We start from the raw sequence: 23839 nt of genomic DNA, 5'->3' as shown, positions 1-23839 counted from the left end.
ACATTTTCCTTATTCAGTCCACCACTGTTGGGCTCCTAGGTTGATTCCATGTTTTTGCTGTTGTGAATAGTGCTGCAATGAACATATATGTGCATGTGTCATTTTTGTAGAATGACTTGTTTTCCTTTGGGTATATACCCAGTAATGCGATTGCTGAGTCAAACGATAGTTCTGCTTTAAGGTCTTTGAGAAATCTCCAAACTATTTTCCATAGAGCTGAACTAATTTACATCCCCACCAACACTGTGTTTAAGTGTTCCCTTTTCGCTACAGCCTCACCGGCATCTGTTCTTTTTTGACTTTTTAAGTAATAGCCATTCTGAGTAGTGTGAGATGGTATCTCGTTGTGGTTTTGATATGCATTTCTCTGATAATTAGTGATGTTGAGCATTTTCTCATGTTTGTTGTATGTCTTCTTTTGAGAAGCATCTGTTCATGTCCTTTGTAGATTGGCAAAATAGTTTTGTTTTTTTGTTTGTTTGTTTGTTTTGAGATGAAGTCTTGCTCTGTCACCCAGGCTGGAGTGCAGTGGCGCGATCTCGGCTCACTGCAACCTCCACCTCCTGTGTTCAAGCAATTCTCCTGCCTCAGCCTCCCGAGTAGCTGGGATTACAGGTGCACACCACCAAGCCCAGCTAATTTTTGCATTTTTTAGTAGAGACGGGGTCTCACCATGTTGGTCAGGCTGGTCTCCATCTCCTGACCTTGTGATCCACCCGCCTCAGCCTCCCAAAGTGCTAGGATTACAGGCGTGAGCCACCGTGCCTGGAGCAAAATATTTTTAAGCTGGTGATATTTAGCGCTGGTGCAGATATACAGCATCGGGAAGCCTCCCACTCTGATGATGGCAGTGTAAATTGATACAATCACTCTAGAAAACAGAATGGTAGTATTGTATAAGTTTGAAGATAAATATACTTTATCAGCCAGCAATTTCTCTCCCAACAATATAACCCAGAGCAGGGTTTGTCAAGCTCAGCACTATTGACTTTATAGGTGTGTTAATTCTTTGTCATGGGTGGCTGTCCTGTGCGTTGTAGATCGTTTAGCAGGACTCCAACTTCTACCTACTAGATGCCAGTAGCACTTGCCAGTTGTTACAATAAGAAAAGTCTCAAAACGTTGACCAATGTCTCCTAGGAAGCAAAATCTCCTTAGGTGAGAACGAGTCTCCTGTAGCATCATTTCTAATTGCCGAAATCACAAAACAATCCAAGTGCTAATCAAAGATGAAATAAATTATTATAGTGTAGAACATACAAGCTCTAGTTACTTATATAGCAATTAAAATTTTTAAAATTAGATTCATTAACAATATAGGCCTTACAAACATTATATTGAGTGAAAAAAACACCTGTGTTTTTACACAGAAGAATATACATTATGATCCCATATATATTATATATAAGAAAAAAAACAAAACTGTATGTTGTAGGGAACTTTACATGGGCAGGAAGTAATGGAAAGCAGGGAAATGACTACCATTAAGGTAAATCTTCCTACAGGGGTAGGCATACTGGGAAAAACAGGACGTTCGTATTTTCTTGGTATTGAAATGTTCTATTCTTGATTCAGCTAGTAGTGAGATGAGTAGTATCTTTATAACTATTTTAAAACTATATATATAAGTGTAGTACTCTTTTCAGTATGTATATTTTGAAATTTTAAAAGAAACGTTTAAATAGAAATCCTGTCTTGACTCATTTCTCCAAATAGCATATCCATGCCTTTCCTCACCTTTACAGCCCTTTATTGAAAAACTCCAAAAACTTACTGAAATTCACTGTCTGTCTTCCTTCTTTTCATTCTCTTTTGAACACGCTTTAATCTATAACCACTATTGCTCCATTGGAAATATTGCTATAAGATTGCTTCTCAGCAGCATTTAACACAAATGATCACTTCCTCCTTCCTGAAATATTTTCTCCACTTGGCTATCAAGACACCTCACTCTCTCGATTTTCTCCCAACCTCACTGGCTGCTCATCCTTAGATTACTTTGCTTGTCCCTCCTTATCTTTAAGAGCTTTTGCTGCCACAGAAGCTGCAGCAAGTAAACTGGAAGATCTTCCTAAGATAACTGATGAAGGTGGCCACACTGAACAACAGATTTTCAATGTAGATGAAACAGCCTTCAAAAAGTCCATCCCTGGCTTCAAAGCTTCAAAAGACAGGCTGACTCTCTCTTTTTTTTTTTTTTTTTTTTTTTTTTTTTTTTTGAGACGGAGTCTCGCTCTGTCGCCCAGGCTGGACTGCGGACTGCAGTGGCGCAATCTCGGCTCACTGCAAGCTCCGCTTCCCGGGTTCACGCCATTCTCCTGCCTCAGCCTCCCGAGTAGCTGGGACTACAGGCGCCCGCCACCGCGCCCGGCTAATTTTTTGTATTTTTAGTAGAGACGGGGTTTCACCTTGTTAGCCAGGATGGTCTCGATCTCCTGACCTCATGATCCACCCGCCTCGGCCTCCCAAAGTGCTGGGATTACAGGCGTGAGCCACCGCGCCTGGCCGACAGGCTGACTCTCTTTTTAGGGTTTGATGCAGCTAGTGACTTGAAGTTGAAGCCAACGCTCATTTACCATTCCAACAACCCTAGAGCCCTTAAGAATTGTACTGTATCTACTCTGTCTGGGCTTTATAAATTGAACAGCAAAGTCTGAATGGCTGCACATCTGTTTATAGCATGGTTTGCTGAATAATTTTAAGCCTACTATTGAAACCTACTGCTCAGAATACAAAATTTCTTTCAAAACGTTACTGCTTATTGACAATGCACCTAGCCACCCAAGAGCTCTGATGGAGATATGCAAGGAGATTAGTGCTGTTTTCATGCCTAACACAACAGTCAGTCTGCAGCCCACAGATCAAGGACTAATTTTGACTTTCAAGTCATATTATTTAAGAAATATATTTTGTAGGGCTGTAACAGTCATAGATAGCGATTCCTCTAATGGAGCTGGGCAAAGCGATTTGAAACCTTCTGGAAAGAATTCACCATTCTAGATGCCACTAAGAAAGAATATATGTTATTCATGGGAGGAAGCTGAAATACCGGCATTAACAGGAATTTGGAAGAAGTTGATTCCAACCCTCATAGATGACTGAGGGGCTCAAAACTTCAGTGGAGGAAGTAACTGCCGATGGGGTGGAAACAGCAAGAAAACTAGATTTAGAAGTGGAGCCTGAAATGTGACTGAATTGCTATAAACTTATGATGAAACAGTTGAGGAGTCACTTCTTATGGATGAGCCAAAAAGTGGTTTCTTGAGATAGAATCTACTCCTGGTGAAGATGCTGTGAACACTGTCGAAATAACAACAAAGGATTTAGAATATTATTATACATAAAGTTAGTTGATAAAACAGCAGCTGGTTTAAAAGGATTGACCCAAATTTTGAAAGAAGTTCTACTGTGGGTAAAATGCTATCAAAGAGCATTGCAAGACAGAAATTTTTCATAAAAGGAATAGTCAATGGATGTAGCAAACTTCATTATCCTATTTTAACAAATTGCTACAGCCACCCCACCCTTCAACAGCCACCACTCTGAAGAGTCAGCAGCCATCAACATCGAGGCAAGACCCTCCACCAGTAAAATGATTACAATTCACTGAAGATTCGGATGGTTGCTGGCATTGTTTAGCAATAAAGTATTTTAATTTAAGTATATACATTGGTTTTTAGACAGAATGCTACTGTCTAAACCTGCACTATCTCTGAGGTATGCCTGTAATTGAAAAAGAAGCTCAAATATATTTCATCAAAATATGTTTTTAGTATTTAAAGTTTTAATATTTATGCTTAATACTTATCAAAATAATTATTATCTTGCTTTGACTAATTTTATACTACTAATAATAGTGCTAATAACTCAATACAGAATAAAATGTTTTACCTTTCAGTCTTTTAATCACAGAGAAAAAATGTTTTTTAAAATTTTGATTTATAGTCTATTATGGAGAAATATGAAGATGATTGAGAAAATATTTTCATACATTAAAGGAATGCATTGGGATAAAACTCTGTGGAGTGAAATGGAAATGTGAGTGTAAGGAGAAAAAGGAACAATGTAAAATTTGACTATTCCAATAGAGCATCTTCATGTTTCTTTATACTGATGGTGGTGCTGCCTCAATATCTGAACCACTGTATTTTAAAATATTAATATTTTAATAAAGCAAAAACTACATCATTTTCTACTATTGAAATTTAAAGTAAAAAATTTTTAATGTTATCCTGAAAATGTTCAAGGAGGCCAGGCACAGTGGCTCACACTTGTAATCTCAGGACTTTGGGAGGCCGAGGCAGGAGGATCACTTGACCTCCCAGGAGGTCAGGAGTTCAAGACCAGCCTGGGCAACATAGCAAGACCCCATCTCTACAAAAAATGTTTTTAAAAATTAGCTGGGTGTGATGGCATGTAGCTGTAGTCCTAGCTACTTGGGAGGCTCAGGTGGGAGGATCACTTGAACCCAGGAGTTTGAGGTTGCAGTGAGCTGTGATCACACCACTGCACTCCAACCTGGACAACATAGCAAGACCCTGTCTCTAAAATAAAATGTTTAAGGAATTACATAGTTTTTCAAGATTATTTTAGGAGATGCATAAGCAAATGAGTCACTTTACAGAAATTCTCACATATGTGTACATGAAGAAATGTAAAATAACATCATTCTAACATTGCTTGATGAAAGGAAAACTTGGGGAAAATACTCAATGTCCATCAACAGAAGAATAAGTTGGAAAAAATGTACATATATAATATTCCTATACAGGTATTAAAATGATCAGCCAGAAGTAGATGAATCAACATGAATGAATATCAAAAATATAATGTTAATGCAGCAGATATATTATTTATATAAACATTTTTTAATTTAAAACTGCTGAAATATATTGTTTAATTAGAAAATACAGAATAAAACCTTAAACCATGTATGGAATTAATAACCATCAAACTGATGAGAAAGATGAACTCTGGAGACAGAGGGAAATAGAATTGAGAAGAAATATACAGTCTTCAACTAAATCTGTAATGTTTTCTCCTTTTAAAAAATCTGAAGCACTTATAGCAGAAAGTTAGGTTTATTAAAATTTCATAAAGCTAAGGTGCGGGCACATAGGTCATCATATACTCATTTGTATATTTGAACTATTTCATAATAAAAATAGTATGAGATAAAATATAAAAGAAAACAGTGATACAATATATCCTAAAATGACAAAAGAAAGAATTTAAAAAATCAATCCAACAGATTATAGGGACAAAATACAAAGAAAAAAAAGGTGAATTAAAAACACAAAATAAGGTGGTGGAATATATCAGTGATTAATTAGAATTAGATCTGAGTTTAAATGTTGCCTCAGACAATGGCAGTAACACATAGAATCCATTAGATGGCAGTGTTACTTTATATTTATTCTCATTTTTCAGCACGGTGGGTTCACGACTCAATGGCATTCAACGAATTAGATTTCAGACTCAATTAGATGCCGTTTTAGGTTTGACTCAAACATCTAATAATGAGTAAATAATAATACCTATAGTAACATTTTTAATGTGCAATACAAATATAAATTTTTATTACACAATAATTTTTAAAATCTCTTTCTGCATATTTTCCATTAATTATTCTTTAACTTGCTAAAGCAATTTTGTGTTATTCTATAGGCCCTTCAAGAGGCAGGCAAGACAGAAAGCATTTCCTATTGCTTTGGGAAAAAAATAGGGTCTCTAAATTGTCTCTATACACATTTGCAATAAAGTTTGTGGCTCTTAGAAATACAGCCCTGTGACGTAAGCAATACATGGAATTAAAAGAGATCTTGAAAAACCATCTATTCTAACCCCCAGCATCTTGAAAATTGACAAATGGGGAACTAGTCTATTTTTAAAGATTTCAAGGAAGGAAATCATCAGTCAGAAAGTTCTTCTTCCCATCTAACCTAAATCCCTCCTGATGAAGTGTAATCCCATTTCCTGTAGTGTGGACCTTTCCAGTGAGGTTGAAGGACATCTGCGGTCCACAATCCTCATCTAAAGAATAACCCTTCACATCCCAGAATACGTGCATATTAGGCTCTTATGAACTATAACATGGATCTCAACAAGGCAGGTGTCTATGAGCAACTGTCAGTAAATTACTAATAGCCCAAATGTTATCATTAAGAGACTACCTCACAAAAGCCTGTTGTAAAGAGAGCCAACCTTGAAACAAACGGTTATGGAGTTATGACCTTGAAGTAAAGAGAGATGGGTTCTTATCTCCAGTAGCATTTTAGGTTACTTTAGGGGGTTCCATTAAATATAATCATGATTAAACACCTACTATGAGCAGGGTGCTTTCATTTTTTTTTTTTTTTTTTTTTTTTCTTAGGCAGGATCTCACTCTGTCACCCAGGCTGGAGTGCCACTGCACGATCATGGCTCACTGCAGCCTCAACCTCCTGGACTCAAGCCATCCTCCTGCCTCAGCTTCTGGAGTAGCTGGGAACACAAGCATGCGCCGCCACACCCAGGTTTGTTTGTTTGTTTTGTACAGACAGGGTCACATTATGTTGCCCAGGCTGATCTCGAACTCCTGGGTTCAAGGGATCCTTCCACCCCATCCTCCCAAAGTGCTGGGATAACAGGGGTGAACCTGGCCAATTAATTCTTTATAATACTCAAAGTCCTGGCCAATTAATTATTTGTAATCCTCACAAAAGGCCTGCAAGTTAGGAGTTGTTATTATCATCGTTACTATTATGATTCTAACTATTTTCCAAATAAGGAAACTGAGGCTCAAGAAAGTTAATTAGTTTGCCCAAAGCAAACAGCTGTTAGGAGACAGAGCTGGCTTTCATTCTTGCCTGACTCCAAGGCTGTACAGGTACAGTACACCACTGTTCTTCAAGTTCTTCTGGCTTTAAAGTGATAGGATAAATATATATATATAATTTATTTATTTATGGGGTGGGGGGAGGGAGTTTTGTCCTCCAAGTCATTGTTCCTCCTTTAACATTAACGAGATTAACTGAAAGTTAACATTGTGTGTGATGATATGTGATGATCACTGATTCCGTTTCTAGCCTGGGGACAGAAGTACTCAGATATAAGGAAGTAATAACCTGAAGGTAAAGATCAGTATACATAAAAATGTTACCAAGGGAAGTTGTGGAATCGACTACTCTGTCTTTAAAAATAAGAAATATTCACTACCTTCTCAAGGTGCAGAGATCAAATCTATGGTCCATAGACTAGAAGGATCATTCTGCCAAGCCCTGAGCAATTCAGAACATTGACGATTAGATTGTCTTTGCTTCTGCATTTCAGAGACCTGCAGTCTCCCTTCCTGTTTCCTTCCTCTCCTTCCCCTCCCAGCTCTTCCTTTCCTTTCTCTCCCCTCCCCTCTCTTTCCTTCCTCCCTTCTGTTTTTTCTTCTTCCTTCCTTTTTCTTCCTTCCTTCACTTTCCTTTTCCTTCATTTCCTTTTGTCTTTTTCTTCTTCTTTTATTTTCTTTCTCTCTTTCTTTCTTTTTTAAAGACAGGGTCTCACTCTGTCACCTAGGCTAGAGTACAGTGGTGAGATCCCATCTGCAGCCTCCACCTCCTTGACTCAGGCGATCCTCCAATCTCAGCCTTCGAAGGAGTAGCTGGGACTACAGGTGCAAGCCATTCTTTTCTTTTTTAAATTACAAAACAACCACACATCCATTGAGAAGACAAATCAAACAATATAGGCATATAGAAAGCAAAAAAAAAAAAAAAATGAAAGTTCTCACCACCTCTCCACACCCTCTCTCCAGGTGGTAACCACTGATAAAAGTTTAATGTGTATCCTTCGGGTCATTTTCTATGCATTCACAAAGAAAAAGGAAGGAGAAAAGCAGAGAAAAAGAAGAGAGAATGGAGGAAGTTATTTCAAAACAGATAATATCGTGTGCATTTTGTTCTGCAGCCTGCTTCTTTCAAACAAGACTGTCTTATAGACATCTAATATTTATATTTTCTTTTACCAGCTGCACAGTATTTGTTAGCATAGAGGTGCCATAGTTTGTTAACTCTTCCCCTGTCAGTAGACATTTAGCAGTCTCTAGTTTGCTCCTGTTCCAAGATATACTACGGTGGAATTTTTGTCCACGTATCTTTATACATTTAATGTGAATATTTCTGTGGAACAGGTGTCAGCAAGGGGGGTTGCTGGGTCAAAGGTAAGAGCAATTTGAGTTTTCACAGGCATTGTTAAATTGTCTTCCTAAGTGTCTAGGAAGTTATGCTTCTACCAGTTATTAGTTTAGCTTTCTTTTAAACATTTTACATAAATAGAAACTATTATTATTTTCACAAAACAGACAAATGGGAGTAATGACTAGAAAGTATACAAAGGCTTCAGGATCTTCATTTAAGAATACTTTTCACTCCCTTTTATCAATGTTTTGCGACATTGTTGCTTTTTCTCAAGGGGAAATAGTGGCATTCATGAGGTTTGTTTCTTGGCTTTGTGGGGAGGGGGGTGCTAAAATTAACATACAGTGAAAGTCACAAATCTTAAGTATACATACAAGTCAATGAGTTTTGGTAAATGTAACAGAGGATATTTCTATCACCTCAGAAAATTCCCATATACTCTCTTCAATAAATCCCAGTTTCCATGAATACCCTCCTGCACATATTTTTGTGGACACATTTTCTGTTCCTTTGGCTAAGTTTATAGGAGTAGAAATGCTGAGTGATAAGTGTTCTATGTTTAACTTCATAAGAAATTACCAAACAGTACCATTTTATATATTTATCAGCACTGTACAAAATTTCTAGGGGTTCCACAGTCTCACCAACATTTGATATAAAATGATATATTATTATAGTTTTAATTTTTATGTCCCTGATGATTAATGATATTTGAGCATTTATTCTTGTACATATCTTTTGAGAAGTATCTGTCCAAGCATTTTGTCTATCTATTACACTTCTTATTTGTTTTTCCAATTATTGACTTGTAAGAGTTATTTATGTATTCTCTATATAAATCCTTTGTAGGATATGGGTATTATAAATATTTTCTCACAGTCTATGGCTTACTGTTTTTAATTAATGGGTCCAATATTGTCCTATGTTTTCTTTTAGTAACTTTCAACTTTTAGGTTTTAGGTTCAGATCTGTAATAATCCGTCTGATTAATTTCTGTATATTATGTGAGGTAGAAGCTGAGGATCATTTTTACTCTATGTTTACCCAATTTTTCCAGTACTGTCATAAAGACATAAGTCACCCTTATTTTATTATTTTAATGTCTATAGCAGGGGTCCCCAATCCCCAGGCCACAGACAGGTACTGGTGCGTGGCCTCTTAGAACCTGGGCCACACAGCAGAAGGTGTGCAGTGAGCGAGCAAGCATTACTGCCTGAGCTCCGCCCCCTGTCAGATCAGCGGTGGTATTAAATTCTCATAGGAGCACTAACCCTATTGTGAACTGTGCATGCAAGGGATCTAGGCGTATGCCCCTTATCAGAATTGAATACCTGATGATCTGAGGTGGAAGAGTTTCATCCCGAAACCACCCACTCCCCAATCATTTCATGGAAAAATTGTCTTCCACAAAACTGGTCCCTGGTGCCAAAAAGGTTGGAGACTGCTGGTCTATAGGCGCTACAGTTTTATTTTATTCCTGATATTAGTAATTTCTGCTTCTATTTTTTTTCTTGAATCAGCTTTGCTGGGAGTTTATAAATTTTATTACTCTTTCCAAAGAAACAACTTGTCAGCAAACTTTCGCAAGGACAAAAAACCAAACACCGCATGTTCTCACTCATAGGTGGGAATTGAACAATGAGAACACACGGACACAGGAAGGGGAACATTACGCACCGGTACCTGTTGTGGGGTGAGGGGAGCGGGGAGGGATAGCATTAGGAGATATACCTAATGTTAAATGACGAGTTAATGGGTGCAGCACACCAACATGGCACATGTATACATACGTAACTAACCTGCACGTTGTGCACATGTACCCTAAAACTTAAAGTATAATAAAAAAATAAAATAAATAAAAAAGATATATAAGATAATATCACCAAAAAAAGAAACAACTTGTGTCTTTTGTTAATTTTCTTTATTCTTTTCTATTGCATTGATTTCTACTTTTACATTTATTATTTCTATTATTTACATATATATGGTTTAACTGAGTTTAATTTGTTCTTTTTGTAGTGGCTTGAAGTGAAAATTTACATCATTGATTTTACATCTTTCTTGAACTAAATACCAGCTGGAGTGCAGTGGTCTGGCTCTGTCTCCCAGGCTGGAGTGCAGTGGTGCGATCTGGGCTCACTGAAACCTCCACTCCCCCAGCTCAAGCAATTCTTCTGCCTCAGCCTCCTGAGCAGCTGGGATTATAGGCATGTGCCACCACACCCAAAAATAAAAAGTTTTGTATTTTTAGTAGAGACAGGGTTTTGCTATGTTGGCCAGGCTGGTCTCAAACTCCTGACCTCAAATGATCTGCCCACCTCGGCCTCCCAAAGTGCTGGGATTACAGGAGTGAGCCAAGCTCCCAGCCTAACTAAAATATAAACATTTCAAAGTGTATTTCTTCTAATAACTGATTTACCTGCATTCCACAAATTTTGATATATGTTCATTATCATTCATTTTGAAAGTTTCTCATTTTTCTTGTGATTTCTTCTTTAACCTACAGTTCATTTAGCAGTCTTCAAGAGATCTTATTGTAATTAATTTCTCATTTAACTCCTCTGTGGTAAGAAAACATATTTGTAAAATGCCAGTCCTTTGAAATTTGAGTCTTGTTTTATGGCCCAGCATATGGTCTATCTTGATGAATGCTCTTTATGTACTTAAAAAGAATATATCTTCTGAAGTTACTGGTTACAGCATTCTGTGAATGTCAGTTAGGTCAAGATGGTTCTTAGTATCAAAATCTCCCATTTTTTTGTTTTTGAGATGAAGTCTCCTGTGTCGCCCAGGCTGCAGTGCAGTGGCGCAATCTCGGCTCACTGCAAGCTCCGCCTCTTGGGTTCATGCCATTCTCCTGCCTCAGCCTCCCTAGCTGGGACTGGGACTACAGGCGCCCGCCACCACACCTGGCTAATTTTTTCTTTTTTTTTTTTTAGTAGAGACGGGGTTTCACCGTATTAGCCAGGATGGTCTCGACCTCCCAAGGTGTTGGGATTACAGGCGTGAGCCACTGCTGCCGGCCTAATTTTTCACCTAGTTATTCTTTCAATTACTGGGAGGGTGATGTTAGGTCTTTATAATTGTGGATTTGTTTGGTCCCCTCTTTAGTTCTGTCAGTTTTTGCTCCTTATATGTTGAAGTTTTATTATTAACTGCATATACATTTATAATTATTATGTCTTTCTGATGAATTGATCTTTTATCATTATGAAATGCCTTTAACTTCTACTAATATTCCTTCGTTTGAAGCCTGCATTTCTCTAGGGTGAACACAGTCATATCCCGTTTCTCTTGCTCACAGTTTGCATGGTATATATTTTTACTTTTATTTCCAACCTATCTGTATCTTTATATTTAAGGTGCATATCTGATAGACTGTTTATGGTGGAATCTTGCTTTTTTATATTATTTGGCAATATTTGTCTTTAGTTAGTGTTTAATCCATTTATGTTTAGTGTAAGTATTGATATAGTTGGATTTAGGTTTACCATTTTGTTATTTATTGTCTATTTACCCCATCATTTTCCTTTGTTTCTCCTTTCCTACATTATTTTTGCTTACTCACATTTTTGTAGTATTCATTTTAGTTTTCCCATGGATTTAACTATACATTTTTGTATTTTTAAAGTAATTAGGTATTATAACACGCATTATTGACTTACCACAGCCTACCTAGAGTGAATGTTTGACCCCCTTATGTAAAATGTAAAAGCCCAGAAACAATAACATTCCATTAATTCCCAGTCACATGCTATATATCAACATACATTATAATGCCACAATGCAGTGTTTTAAATGTTGCTTTAAACAATGAGCTATGTTTTTTAAAAAGGAAGAAAAAATATTGTATATTTACCTACTTTTGAAAAAACATTTTTGGTGTTCTTTATTTCTTCTGTTGATCTGAGTTGGTACTTAGTATTATTTCCTTTGGTCTGAAAATGTTCTTTTAATATACCTTTAGCAGGTCAGCCTTTATCTTCATTTTTGAAGGATATTTTAGTTGGATGTAGAAGTCCAGATGGACACATTTTATCTTTCAGCACTTTGAAGATGTTGTTACATTGTATCTGTCTCATCGTTTCTGTTGAAAAGTAGGTGATTAATTATATCATTGATCCCTGTATGTGATATCTTTTTCCTCTGACAACTTTGGCTAAACTGTGCCTAGATGTTTGTTTTGTTTTGTTTTGTTTTGTTTTGTTTTGTTTTGTTTTGTTGTACTTGCCTTGCTTGGGGTTTTCTGAGCTTTGTGGATTTATAATTTGATATTTTTCCATTAGTCATCTATTATTTTTTAAATGTTTTCCTTTTCCCTGTCTTCTTTTTCTGGGAAGCCAATTTCATATATATTGGATTATTTGATACTTTCCCACAGGACCTTAAAGTTCTCTTCACACACTGTTTCACATAATTTTTCTTCTCTCTATTCTTCAGACTGGATAGTTTCTATGGATGTCTTCTAATTAACTAATCCTTTGCTCTTAAATTCATCCAGTAAATGTTATTTCAGACATTGTACTTTTTAGCTTGAAAATTTATATTTCATTCTTTTTTAGTTTGCATTTTTCTGCTGAAATATTCCATCTGTCCACTTATTATGACTATCTTATTCTTTAATTCCTTAAACAAATATATAATAGCTAATTTTAAGTCTTTGTAACATCTGAGTCATCTTGGGTCATTTACTGTTTGGTCACGTTTCCCCATTTCTTCATATGTATGTCTAGTACTTCTTTAGTGTATACTGGACATCATAAAGAATACGTTATAAAGTCTAGTTTCTGTTTTTTCCTCTCAACAGTACCGAATTTTGTGGTCCATGGCATTTAAATTACTGGCAGCTCACCAATGAACTTTTAGAGGCTTAATTTTATGCTTTGATGGGGTGTGTTTCCATTGTGTTATTAGTCCTAAAGCAAATCTCTGGAATCTGATAACTAGTCTTTATAACTAAAGCATGAGTTTTCTAGAGTTTAAGTGGAAATCTTGAAAAACTACCAAGCCCCTCAAACTTGGCAGGACTCAAACTCTAAACTCTGTCTTGGTGCAGTGAACAAGAGCTTAAAAATTTCTGTTCTGTTCTTTCAGTCTCTCAGCTACAGTTTTTCACTGGTCAACTTGGAGTTTCCCCTTCACACGTACAGTTCAGGGTCACCAAAGATTAGAGAGGAGATTATGAGCAGATTTGGGGCCTACCTAGCCCCACTGTGATCTTTCTCTCTGGGATTTTTACCCCTCAATTTCCAGATGTTGTGAAAGCTCCAAACACTATCCTTTGACTCCTCAGGTCAATAAGACTGTAGCTTTCTGCTTCAATTCTAGCTGTCCTGCACCAAGTGGAGTATAGAGCACCTTTGGAAAAATCAATAAATACATTGATTTTATCTAATGTGGTTCCTTATTTCAAGGATCAAATTCTCTCTGGTTTTGGGCTGCTTTGTTGTCTCCCCAGTATGTTTCAATTGTTTTCTTTTAATATTTTGTCCAGAGTTCACAATTGTTATCTGTAGGAAGGGCAGTCTGATACAAACTACTGCAACACAACCAGAACCAGAACATATGCAGGCAACTTTTTCATTCTATTTCACTTCAGTAAAAAGTTTTGCACAGGTAGCATAAATTACAGCAAATTTGAAATTTTAGGTGAATCTTTTATTTTTGAATCACAGGTTTCCATTTCTAGATAATCATTGCTTTATTAAAAGGTAGATGCTCCAAAGAGAGAAATAAATGCTTGCCTTCCTTGAGACAATCTCAAAGGAAATGCCATGTCTGTTTTTGTTTAATTTAGTATTTGTAATATAAAGAGGCTTAAGACCTCAGCCTTCTAAAAGTTTTCAACCTGAAAGATGTGAGTTTATTATTATCTATGTGGCCTCCCAGTTTTGCAAATAATCCCTTGAAAACCTCCCTATGGCTGTTTATGTAAATAAGAGATAACTCTGTTTTAATTCATTTCACTGGGTATAGTGTACAAATTAAGGGAAGGAGAGCCAGGTATAAGAATCTAGTGAGCTGGGAAATATGGGATGTTTATTTTGTAGGATGTGGTTTAGAGATTCCTGGTTGGAATGGCCCATACCATAAGAGTTCCGGGTGGGTGCCATGCCACACAGGAAACAATTGTAGCCTGCCCCTGGGAGTAAGCCAGAGAGCTAACAAATTCAGTGTGCATTGTAATGCTTCATCAACACGCCTTCTGCAGGGCCTGCCCTCTCTGCTGGGTCACTGACCTTTATAAGTGCACAGTCATGGCCATCGCCTGACAGGCATGAAAAGGAGACAGACAATGGACGAGAAGGAGACATGCACAGAGGGGGAAAATGCACTCATTCAAGGGATTTACTGGTCAAGGATGTCATGTCCTATGTCCAGTCCCAGAATGCATGTGGTGGTGTTTAAGCCATGCATATCTAGCTACATAAATATAAGGAATGATTATCATCAATATATGAACATAAAAATATCCCTGAGAATCGTGATTGATTTTTGTGGCAGCACAGAACAATGTAGAAAGTAGTTTTGTGCTATAAAATTTTTCACCAATTTATAAAAGCTTTAGATCATTAAAATTGATTAGAGTGTCATACAGCCTGATTTCAAAGGCATTCCAGACTCCAGAGGCGGCATCAGATAGTGACCCGCAAGCTGGGGAGAAAAACATTGAATTTGCATCCTGAATTTGTCCTAAAGGAGCTGTGCAACCTTTGGCCATTTGTTGCAAACAATCAGGCTCCCATTTCTTCATCTGTATACGAGTAGGTGCCATCTTAGTACAATGATACCATTTCCCCGATATTTTAGGATTTCTGTGTTTGTTACTATTCCTTTGCATCCTGAGATGATTCATATAGTTTCTTTTTCAGGAAGTTTAGGAAACATGTTAACACAGTGATTTTCAAAATGAACTTCTGAAACCCTATGTATTTCCCCTGTTCAGTAAGACATACTGGTATTATTTTACATATTGGAATGCCATGTGGACTTTTATTTCTTTTTATTCCATTTTTAAAAGGAGTCTATTTCAAGTCAAAAAAAGCATTTGAAAACCAGTTCTGAAGGATGTTCCTTTTACCTCTGATGGTGTATGATTCTTGTAATGAAAAGGGGATGCATAAATTTGTATCTTTTATTAATAAGCATTTTTCAAAGGCTCTTAACAGTGATATTAAATTAAATGTCTCTCCTATTGATTCTTGATCAAAATAGTGTTCTTATAGAAAAACTATGTATAGCAGATGCATCTGGAAAGGGACATGTGTTCTGAGAACCCCACTCTAGAATGGGAGCACTGTTCTAGAGTACATATACAGCCTCTACCACTACAGAGATTGTCACACAGAGTGGTATTATCACACTGGGTTTGTCAGCATTTCATGGTCTCTAATGGTCTCCTGTGCTTATAGAGCCCAGGGGCATCTCAAAAATGGCATCTTGGCTGGCATTCCACCTCAAAGTGCCTAACAACCCATCTTGCTTCTTGAAGAACTTCTGCTGATTATCAGTGGTTCAGGAAATGTAATCTAATTTTTAACACAAACCAAACCCAAACATAATTACATGCTAAATATGTAGAAAGAACAAGCATATGATGCAGTTCAAAGCCAAATAAACGTGATTTCTATTTTTGATCATTGAAAAGTAATCTTTCTCACCACTGCCTTCTGTAAATATAAGGTAATGTGTGTGAGCCACATGCAAGTGGGTTCCTAAATCCCACTGTATATTTAATATTTATAGTAACTTTCACTCAAGAATCTACTCCCATATGTGCTAGCAATCATTTTTCCACTTTGAAAGCGTGAAGAAATTATTCCCATTTTACAAAAGTAAATAAATTTAGTCCTGGAGAGGATAACATTACAGTTCATTTTCATGTATAAATGGCCTTCCCTGCTAGAGACTGAGCACCTCTATGGGAAAAGAGTGGTGTCCGATTAAATGCTAAGGTGAAAAGTCCAGTTCATCCTCTGGAAGAAAAGAATGATATGTCCTTGTTCATCCCTAAGCCTTCCGGGTTGGAATAACGATAACTGGGATTTCATGAGAACCTAGAAGAGTGATCTTGTTTAATGTATTCACTCCCAAAATACAGTTTCTGGACTACCCTCTAGAAGCTTTTATTCTGTTGTATACAAACTCATTATCATTCATACAGCCTAAAATTTCACATAATCATTTGCTGAACACTTTGCAGTTAGGCTTTTTAGATATATTTTTAGTTTGTTCTTGATTTCCCTATTTGTTTTTTTTTTCTTGCTGGGGGAGAGGGTGAGACATATTGAAATTTAATAGAGATGATTGTTAGACAGAATTTTGAAGGAAGTGAGTGTACTCACCCCACCCACTTCATCAGGAGATGCTTCCTCTGTGAGGTGGGATTTGAGTCATATTAATTTGTCCCAGACCACACCAAAATTAAGCTGTTCACGTCTGAAACATTCCATGAATTCAGTTGCGAGGAGGAATTTGTTCAGCCATGTTATGGATTCATATTTCTCTCCTCTCCCAAGAAGGTCTGGGTGTCCTTATAAGGGAGAACGCCTCTGTTTCCCACAGTGTGGAGAGCGAAATAAATACTCTCTCACAGTCAATGCAGAGGTAACTTTTTTTTAATGGATTAAAAAAAAAAAAAAGCAGTTCTGAGAGTCCATCACTGTTTCAGCATCCCCATTCAGAGAGGGGGCTTTTGTCTCTCTCTCAGTGGGAGCTGCCATTTTAATGGGGCCTCCAGCAGGGCCTGGTTTGATGATGTGAAGTAGGCCTGGAAGAATCGTGGAATTTTTTTTTTAATTTAGATTTTGGTTAATTTAACCATACTGGCTTTCAAATGAACTGAAATGTAAAAGTGAATCCACGGTAAATGTCCCTCAGAAGCTGCTACCAGATAATTTCAGCGATTTCTCATCTCTGAAGCTCTCTCATGTGAAAACCAATCCCTTGAAGTTCTAATAGGCATTACCGGCCGTCTACCCCCAACCCCCAATCTATTTGCAAAGATGAAAATCGGGAGAATTCATTCTTAAAAATATGCATACGCATACACAGACACAAACGTGCACTCCTAAATGCTAAATGAAAACATTGCTTTTAGCTGATTGGTGATGCCAAGCCAGGATTGGGATAGCTTTGTGGTAATTCTGGGGTTTCCCTTTTGCCTGAGTCATGAACACCACGGTACATGGAATGCTCCCCGACCCCAGAGCCTTGGGAGTGCCAAAGCTACTCCCCAAGCCCTCGCCCCAGAGGAGGATTCCAAAATCCCCCACAGCACACTTTCTAGATAAAACTGTTGCTCTCAGTAATGAGGCCACAGCCTGCAGAGCCAAACTGGCCCGCAGGCCGCTTTCTGCAGGCCTGGCGCCGGACCTGCTCTGCCCCCGCCCGCTCCGCAGCCCCCGCGGCCACACAGTGGCTGCGCCTGGCAGCTGCGCGCCCAGATGCCAACCGCTGGAATGTGTTTTATGTTCCCGCGTCTCTGCCTGGCTGGCCTCGGGGGAAGGCTCTTCCCTGGCCTCTCCGGCTCCGGCGCTGGGCTGCGGCAGCTGGGGAACCGATGTGCGATCATTTTACACATGAGCTAGCTGTTCACCCTTCCAGGAACTGTTTGCCTGCACTAATTCCGCGCAAGATGCACACACTGAGCCCCTTTGTAGGGCTGAAGGATGACAGTCTCTCCAGCCTAGATTGATTTAGTAAATGACTGACTGCATGGGCCTGAGTACCTGGGTATTCGTGTGTGTGTGTGTGTGTGTGTGTGTGTGTGTGTGTGTGTGTGTGTGTGTGTGTTGACTTAAAGGCGCTCCCTCTTTGCAGAAATAAATGAATTAATGAATTTTTAAAAAGAAGGTAGAACTAACGCATTTTCGAAAAAAGCAAACATCAGGGAATGTGCAGTTTGTTACAACATATCTATCCATGATTCCATTTTGGGGGAATTTATATGAAGATATCCCACAATCGGGCAATCGCCAAACAAGAAAGCATCCTTAATTGAGTTGAAACTGGGGGTAAGGGGACAGAAAAATCGCCCCCATAAAATAATTTCAAATTCAGCCTTGTGTTTCCCAGTAATTGGGCTGTCTGAGGATGAGACTGGGAGTGGAAAAATCCAAGTTAGTCTTAGAGCTGCACTTCTCAAAAGTGGCTGCAAAGGCTTTGAGGTGGTCAGTGATTTGTGTTTATTTACAACAATGCTTTAATTAATCATATTTAATAAGATTTGATATCACTTCATCGGTGGCTAAGCAAAATATTAATTATGATTTAGTTTGTTGACTTACCACTATCAAGAACTTGGATGATGATTTTTTTTAAATCATTTTATCTCTCTGTGCCTTTTCTATGCTTCAGAAGTGACAATGGCATGTTTAAGAGTCTAGGAAACATTTGAGCCTGGGATGAAAAGTCAGATACTGAAGACCCAGTTGTACACATAATGCATTTTTAGAGAAGATACATAAAAATGGACATCCAGCCAGGTGTAGTGGATCATGCCTGTAATCTTACCACTTTAGGAGGCCAAGACAGGAGGATTGCTTGAGGGCAGGAATTTTAGACCAGCCTGGGCAGTATAGCAAGACCCCATCTCTACAAAAAAAAAAAAAGAGAGAGAAAGAGAAAAAAAATGGACATCACTTACAAAGTACACTCTCAATAGCAGATATGCTCTATCTTTAAAAAAAGTTTTGAATTATTAATGTATCACCTTCTTGTTAAAGAAAACAATACCAAAATGTTTAAAATTAAAAGTAAAAATTACCTCCATTCCCACTCCCCTGGAATAATCACTTACAAATCCAACAAGTATCTTTCCAGTCTTTTTAAACACACAAACACATATACTGTATAATATATATGTGTATAAAATATATGTGTGTATTGCATATGCTTGTATACATGCAATATACATTTAATGTACCTATAGAGAGAGGATCGCTTCTTTTTAATGGGATCTTGTTAAACATATTGTTCTATAACTTCCTTTTTACTCAGAAATGTAATCATGAATAGCCTTTAATACCAGTATTATATTATTTGTAGTGGCTCCATAATATTCCAGAATATCAGTGTATGTTTTATTTAGTCCTTCCCATATTTATGGTCATTAAAGTTATCCCAAATTCTTCAGTAATATCAATAATGCTGCCATAAACATCCTTGCATATATATCATAAATTTTAAATATATATTTAAATGCAGCTGTTTTTGTTGTTGTTTTTTGTTTTTGTTTTTGTTTTTGTTTTTTGCCTCTGTGGAAACTGGAACTGTCAACTGAGAAGGGAAAGGCAGCACGAAATGAAGTATAAGTGTTGCATAAAGAATAAAGGCTCAAGTTGCAAAGCAGTGAGTTGGAGTTGGCTTATAGGAACAGAAAGCAGACTCATTAAAAATTGCATTTTGATGTATAATATATTTTTTTCAAAGTCATGAGGCTCTATGTTCTCACAATGTCTTCTTTCAGATAACATACCTGTAGGTGTGCACAACTCCGTCTCCAACTTTGTAACTGAACTGGGCATGGAGTTGGGTTCACTTTGTAACTTTGAAATCTTGATGAGCAGCACAGGAGCCATCATGGCTTCTCTGTAGCTAAGGAGACTGCAGTAGTTGCTACAACCAGTAGCTATATTTGGCTCTATTTCTCAAGCACTGAAATTGAAAATAAAGAAGTATTTTTCCTTCACTTTGATCTCCTTTCTATCTTGCTTTCTTTTATTGTATATTCTTTTTGAAAGTCACCTCATATTCTTACTGATTGGGTCTAGAGTCATTCCTTTATCCATTCACTTATTGATGTACATTGATACATGTACTGAAATACATCAAGTAGAGCTCATTTACCTTCATTATACCAGGAAAAAAAATCACCATTTACCATCTGGGGCCAATAAACCCTTTAAATTTTTTAAAATATTTTCAAAAATATTTTTAAGTCATTTTGCAAATAATTGATAGAAGTAAGAATAAGGGATAGTAAAAAAAAAAGTTAGAAATGTTAATAAGAATTTAAGCATAGCAAATTTAAATTTTCCATATTTTCCTGCTTTTGAAGGTATCTATACCCAAAATAGACGACGTCTTTAAAATTCAACTAACTGCCATACCTATCATGCAGGAGCCTGCAGCATATCCATAGTGTAAATATTGATTCCTGATTTCAAATAACTCTTTAATAGGTTTTAGCATATTCATGGTTCTGCTCTGTTTGGCCTTATCAAAATGTGACACATTTGAAATTTTTAACAAACCAGAATTGTGTTGGCATTGTCACAGGATTCTTAGGGTATTGCTTCGCCAGCCGGAAATCTCTGTGGCCGGTGGTGCCTTTGCCTAAGTTTTGCTTGGGCCTGCTGGGCCCACTCAGCCTGGCAGGCTGCACTCAACTCGTGCTACTGGCCTGGATCCCATGCCTGCCAAGGGTGAGCAGAGCGGTGAGGGGTGTGTGGGTAAGTGAGGTGTCCGGCCACTGCGCACAGCCAGGCATGCTGGCGGCAGTGGGGGCAGGGAACTCCAGGAGCCAGCACAGGTGTCGGCTCCCTGCAAGGCTGCAGCTGGACTAGCCTTGCATACTGCATACTGCAAGCAGCTTCCACGGCTGGCACCAAGGAATGCACTGGTGCCCAAAAACTTGGAGACAGCAGGAATTGCTGAGCCCCAAAGGAGGTGTCACAGCCCTGGCTTGGGGAGCTCCCAGGTCTGAGCTCCCCAAAGGGTCGCATTTCTTCTCTCCTTCTCTCTGCTGTCCTTCTTGTTGCCTACAATGTGGCGAGCAAGGGGCACATTTCAGCCCTGTGTTATAGCTCTGTTGACCCTGCCATTTGGTGGGTCCCGAGTTCTTGTCTTGCATCCAGGAAGAATGAGGTACATGGACAAAGGAGGGTGAGCAAGGCAAAGCAGGAGCTTTATTGAGTGATAAAACAGCTCAGAGGAGACCCACAGTGGATAGCTCCTCTCCACAGCCAGGGTGTCCTGATGAGTGTTCAGCTGTCAGCAGAGAGGAAACCCTAGGGTGGGTAGTTCCTCTCTGCAGCTGGTCATCCTGTCATCTTTTTTGAGTCTGGCTGAATCTGGGGGTTTTACGGACTTCAGAGGAGAGGAAGTATGTGCTGATTGGTCCATGGGTGACCCAGAAAAAGCACTGTAATCTCCTACCCTGGTCTGTGGGACTGGCAGCCAGGCCCCCAGGCTTCAGGCTTTCTCTGGCTTGAAGGTGAGCTTCCACTGGGGACCCGTCCCTTTCGGCCCAGGAGCCTGTCTGCCTCCTACTGCTGTTCATGGCGCCCAGACTGTTCATGCCGAGGGGCACCTGCAGGCCAATGCAGAGCTGTCCTCAGCACCCCCTTTGGCCTCCCTCTTGTGTTTGTTGGTGCCCAAGGTCTGGTGGGGGCCAAGGCAGCAGGGGGCTGGCATGTAAGCACTGCCCTGAGCTTGTGCACACCCAGCCAGGTTGCCATAGCGCCCAGGCTGGTCCTCAACTTTGCTGCAAGATCAGACCGGCTGCCAGCAGTGGGGAGAGGCCAGGGAGCAGGAGCCTGTGGGGGAAGAGGGGCTTCCTGGGACCCTGAAAGCACAGAGATGCCAAGATCTGCAGCCATGGCTTGGGCAGCTGCAGCAGCACCTGGGAGGGTGGGGATCCTGCCTGCTTCCAGCCCCCAAGGACACAGGGATGCCTGGGTCTGCAGCCCCAGCTGCACCTCCCCCACTGCAGCGGGCATCATGGCAGTGGCTGCTCCAGACAGGCCACCACTGCCATCAGCATGAAGACTGACATTTTCTTTGCTCCATAAGTGCCAAAAAATTTTATTTCTGGATTTATGAACACCAGTTAAAATAATCCAGTTAATTTTTTACTTCTATATCTTGTATTTTCTTCCAGTAACCTTTGTAAACACACCTGCCTTCAGAACTCATTTGCTAATAAACCACATGGAATAAATTTTGAAACAATTTGAAACAATAAAAGATACTCAACATCTTTTCAGCAAAACAGAATGGTTTAAGTTCTTATTGCAAAATATTTCCTGTTGAATGACTAACTGGATGAGAATACCATATTTTCTTTATTTATTTAGAAATGAATTGTTCATTCATTGATTCTTAAGTATGGGAGAAAAAATTATACCCAGAATATTGTCATCTGAGGACTCATACCTGAGATTTCACTTCTCTGACCAATTTACTATCATCATTATGGCCTAGGAAGCTGATACCTGTCTCTTTGCATTCTTTTTCTGTTCCATCGAATAATACTTTCCTCTATCAACTTATTTTTCTTTGCCATTATGGGAAGAAAATGGAAATTTTTAAATCCTCAACTGTGTTTAGTCTTTAAAAAGACTGCAAAAATGTATCTCCATACTTCTCTTATTCCCTACTTTTTAAAAATGCAATACTTTGCACAACCCAAAAAGAAAACTAAAGCTTGATGCCACCATGATGATTTATTTATTTCCTTCCAGGAGGTTTCATTATTCTTCCATTTTCTTATTATTTTAATCTTTTTAGAAAAGCAGAGTTGAAAACAATTAAATAGCAATGCTAAAATCATTCCTAGCAAGTTGAAATAGCAAAATGGAAAAAATAGGCTCATGAAGATTTCTACCATCCTATCTTGTAATTACCATGCAGCTCCATTGGACCCTGTATAAAGCTTTATACAGGCAAAACCCTGTCTCTACAAAATATTTCTTAAAAATTAGCCGGGCATGGTGGCACACACTTGTAGTCCCAGCTACTTGAGGGGCTGAAGTGGGAGATTCACTTGAGCCCTAGAGGCAGAGGTTGCAGTGAACCAAGACAGCCCACTGCACTCCAGCCTGGGTGACAGATTGAGACTCTGTTTCAAAAAAGAAAAATAAGTAAATTTTTCCTCAGTTCTTTGGAATAATAAAAGACATCAAATATCTTTAAAAATAGTTACAAATAAAAACTCAAAAATAAAACGAGATGCAAGAGGTCCTGATGATGTTCTGAAGGTTAAGGTAGGAGGTATTCTATGGATCACATCATAGCCTCTTTTCCAGGTCATGCAGATTCAAGGTGAGGCAACTGACTAATGAGGAAGGTACTGAACCAATGCTTCACTTCAGACTCTTAAAGAAGGAACACTAGCTAAAGATGGAAATAGTGATATTAACAATAGGTGCTCAGAAATAATTTTGAAATTTCATGTTGAATGTAATCTTCTGTATTTCAATAACCATTTAACACAAGAGAAACTGCTATGAAAGTTAAATAGCTTACCTAAGGTCAATTAAATGAAATATCCTGATCCTCAAAGCTAGGGACACTTATGGGTTCATTCAATAAACATTTACTGACTGTCTACAATATGAAAGAGACTGTTTCTGGATAGCATATGTAGATACCTTTCAAAATGGGTTAAATCTAAGTGAAAGTATTCCAAGAATGTCCTACTTGAGAACGATGTCAGTTTTCCAAACTTTAGGTCTCTAACTTTAAAAATGGCCTTTAGAAAATTCCTCACTCACCAAAATTTGTTAATTGAGCACAACTTTCACTTTTCTTGCTGATTTTACCCTTACCACCTTTTCTTTAGTCCTCACACAGTATAAGGTATAAATACATGCATTTCTCCCCTGGATTGGTAGACTTATAACTTGCTTTGCTCCATAAAGATTTCAGGGGTCATACAATAAATGCAT

General features: G+C 38.4%; 4 annotated features.

Moving 5' to 3' along the window:
* Nucleotides 16618-17349: an enhancer, noted in NCBI's record as "OCT4-NANOG-H3K4me1 hESC enhancer chr7:92673175-92673906 (GRCh37/hg19 assembly coordinates)". NCBI's record gives its function as "activates a minimal SCP1, AML or CMV promoter by ChIP-STARR-seq in naive and primed H9 embryonic stem cells {active_cell/tissue: H9 hESC(naive and primed)}" and the evidence as "EXISTENCE:reporter gene assay evidence [ECO:0000049][PMID:30033119]".
* Nucleotides 20131-20645: an enhancer, noted in NCBI's record as "H3K4me1 hESC enhancer chr7:92669879-92670393 (GRCh37/hg19 assembly coordinates)". NCBI's record gives its function as "activates a minimal SCP1, AML or CMV promoter by ChIP-STARR-seq in naive H9 embryonic stem cells {active_cell/tissue: H9 hESC(naive)}" and the evidence as "EXISTENCE:reporter gene assay evidence [ECO:0000049][PMID:30033119]".
* Nucleotides 21337-21476: an enhancer, noted in NCBI's record as "active region_26277". NCBI's record gives its function as "activates an Ori minimal core promoter by ATAC-STARR-seq in GM12878 lymphoblastoid cells {active_cell/tissue: GM12878}" and the evidence as "EXISTENCE:reporter gene assay evidence [ECO:0000049][PMID:35858748]".
* Nucleotides 21678-22193: an enhancer, noted in NCBI's record as "H3K4me1 hESC enhancer chr7:92668331-92668846 (GRCh37/hg19 assembly coordinates)". NCBI's record gives its function as "activates a minimal SCP1, AML or CMV promoter by ChIP-STARR-seq in naive H9 embryonic stem cells {active_cell/tissue: H9 hESC(naive)}" and the evidence as "EXISTENCE:reporter gene assay evidence [ECO:0000049][PMID:30033119]".

The sequence above is a fragment of the Homo sapiens genome, chromosome 7 (genome assembly GCF_000001405.40).
Source record: "Homo sapiens chromosome 7, GRCh38.p14 Primary Assembly".
NCBI classification, from domain to species: domain Eukaryota; kingdom Metazoa; phylum Chordata; class Mammalia; order Primates; family Hominidae; genus Homo; species Homo sapiens.
The sequence above is the reverse complement of the archived record's forward strand: the minus strand, read 5'-3'. Positions and strand labels throughout refer to the sequence as shown.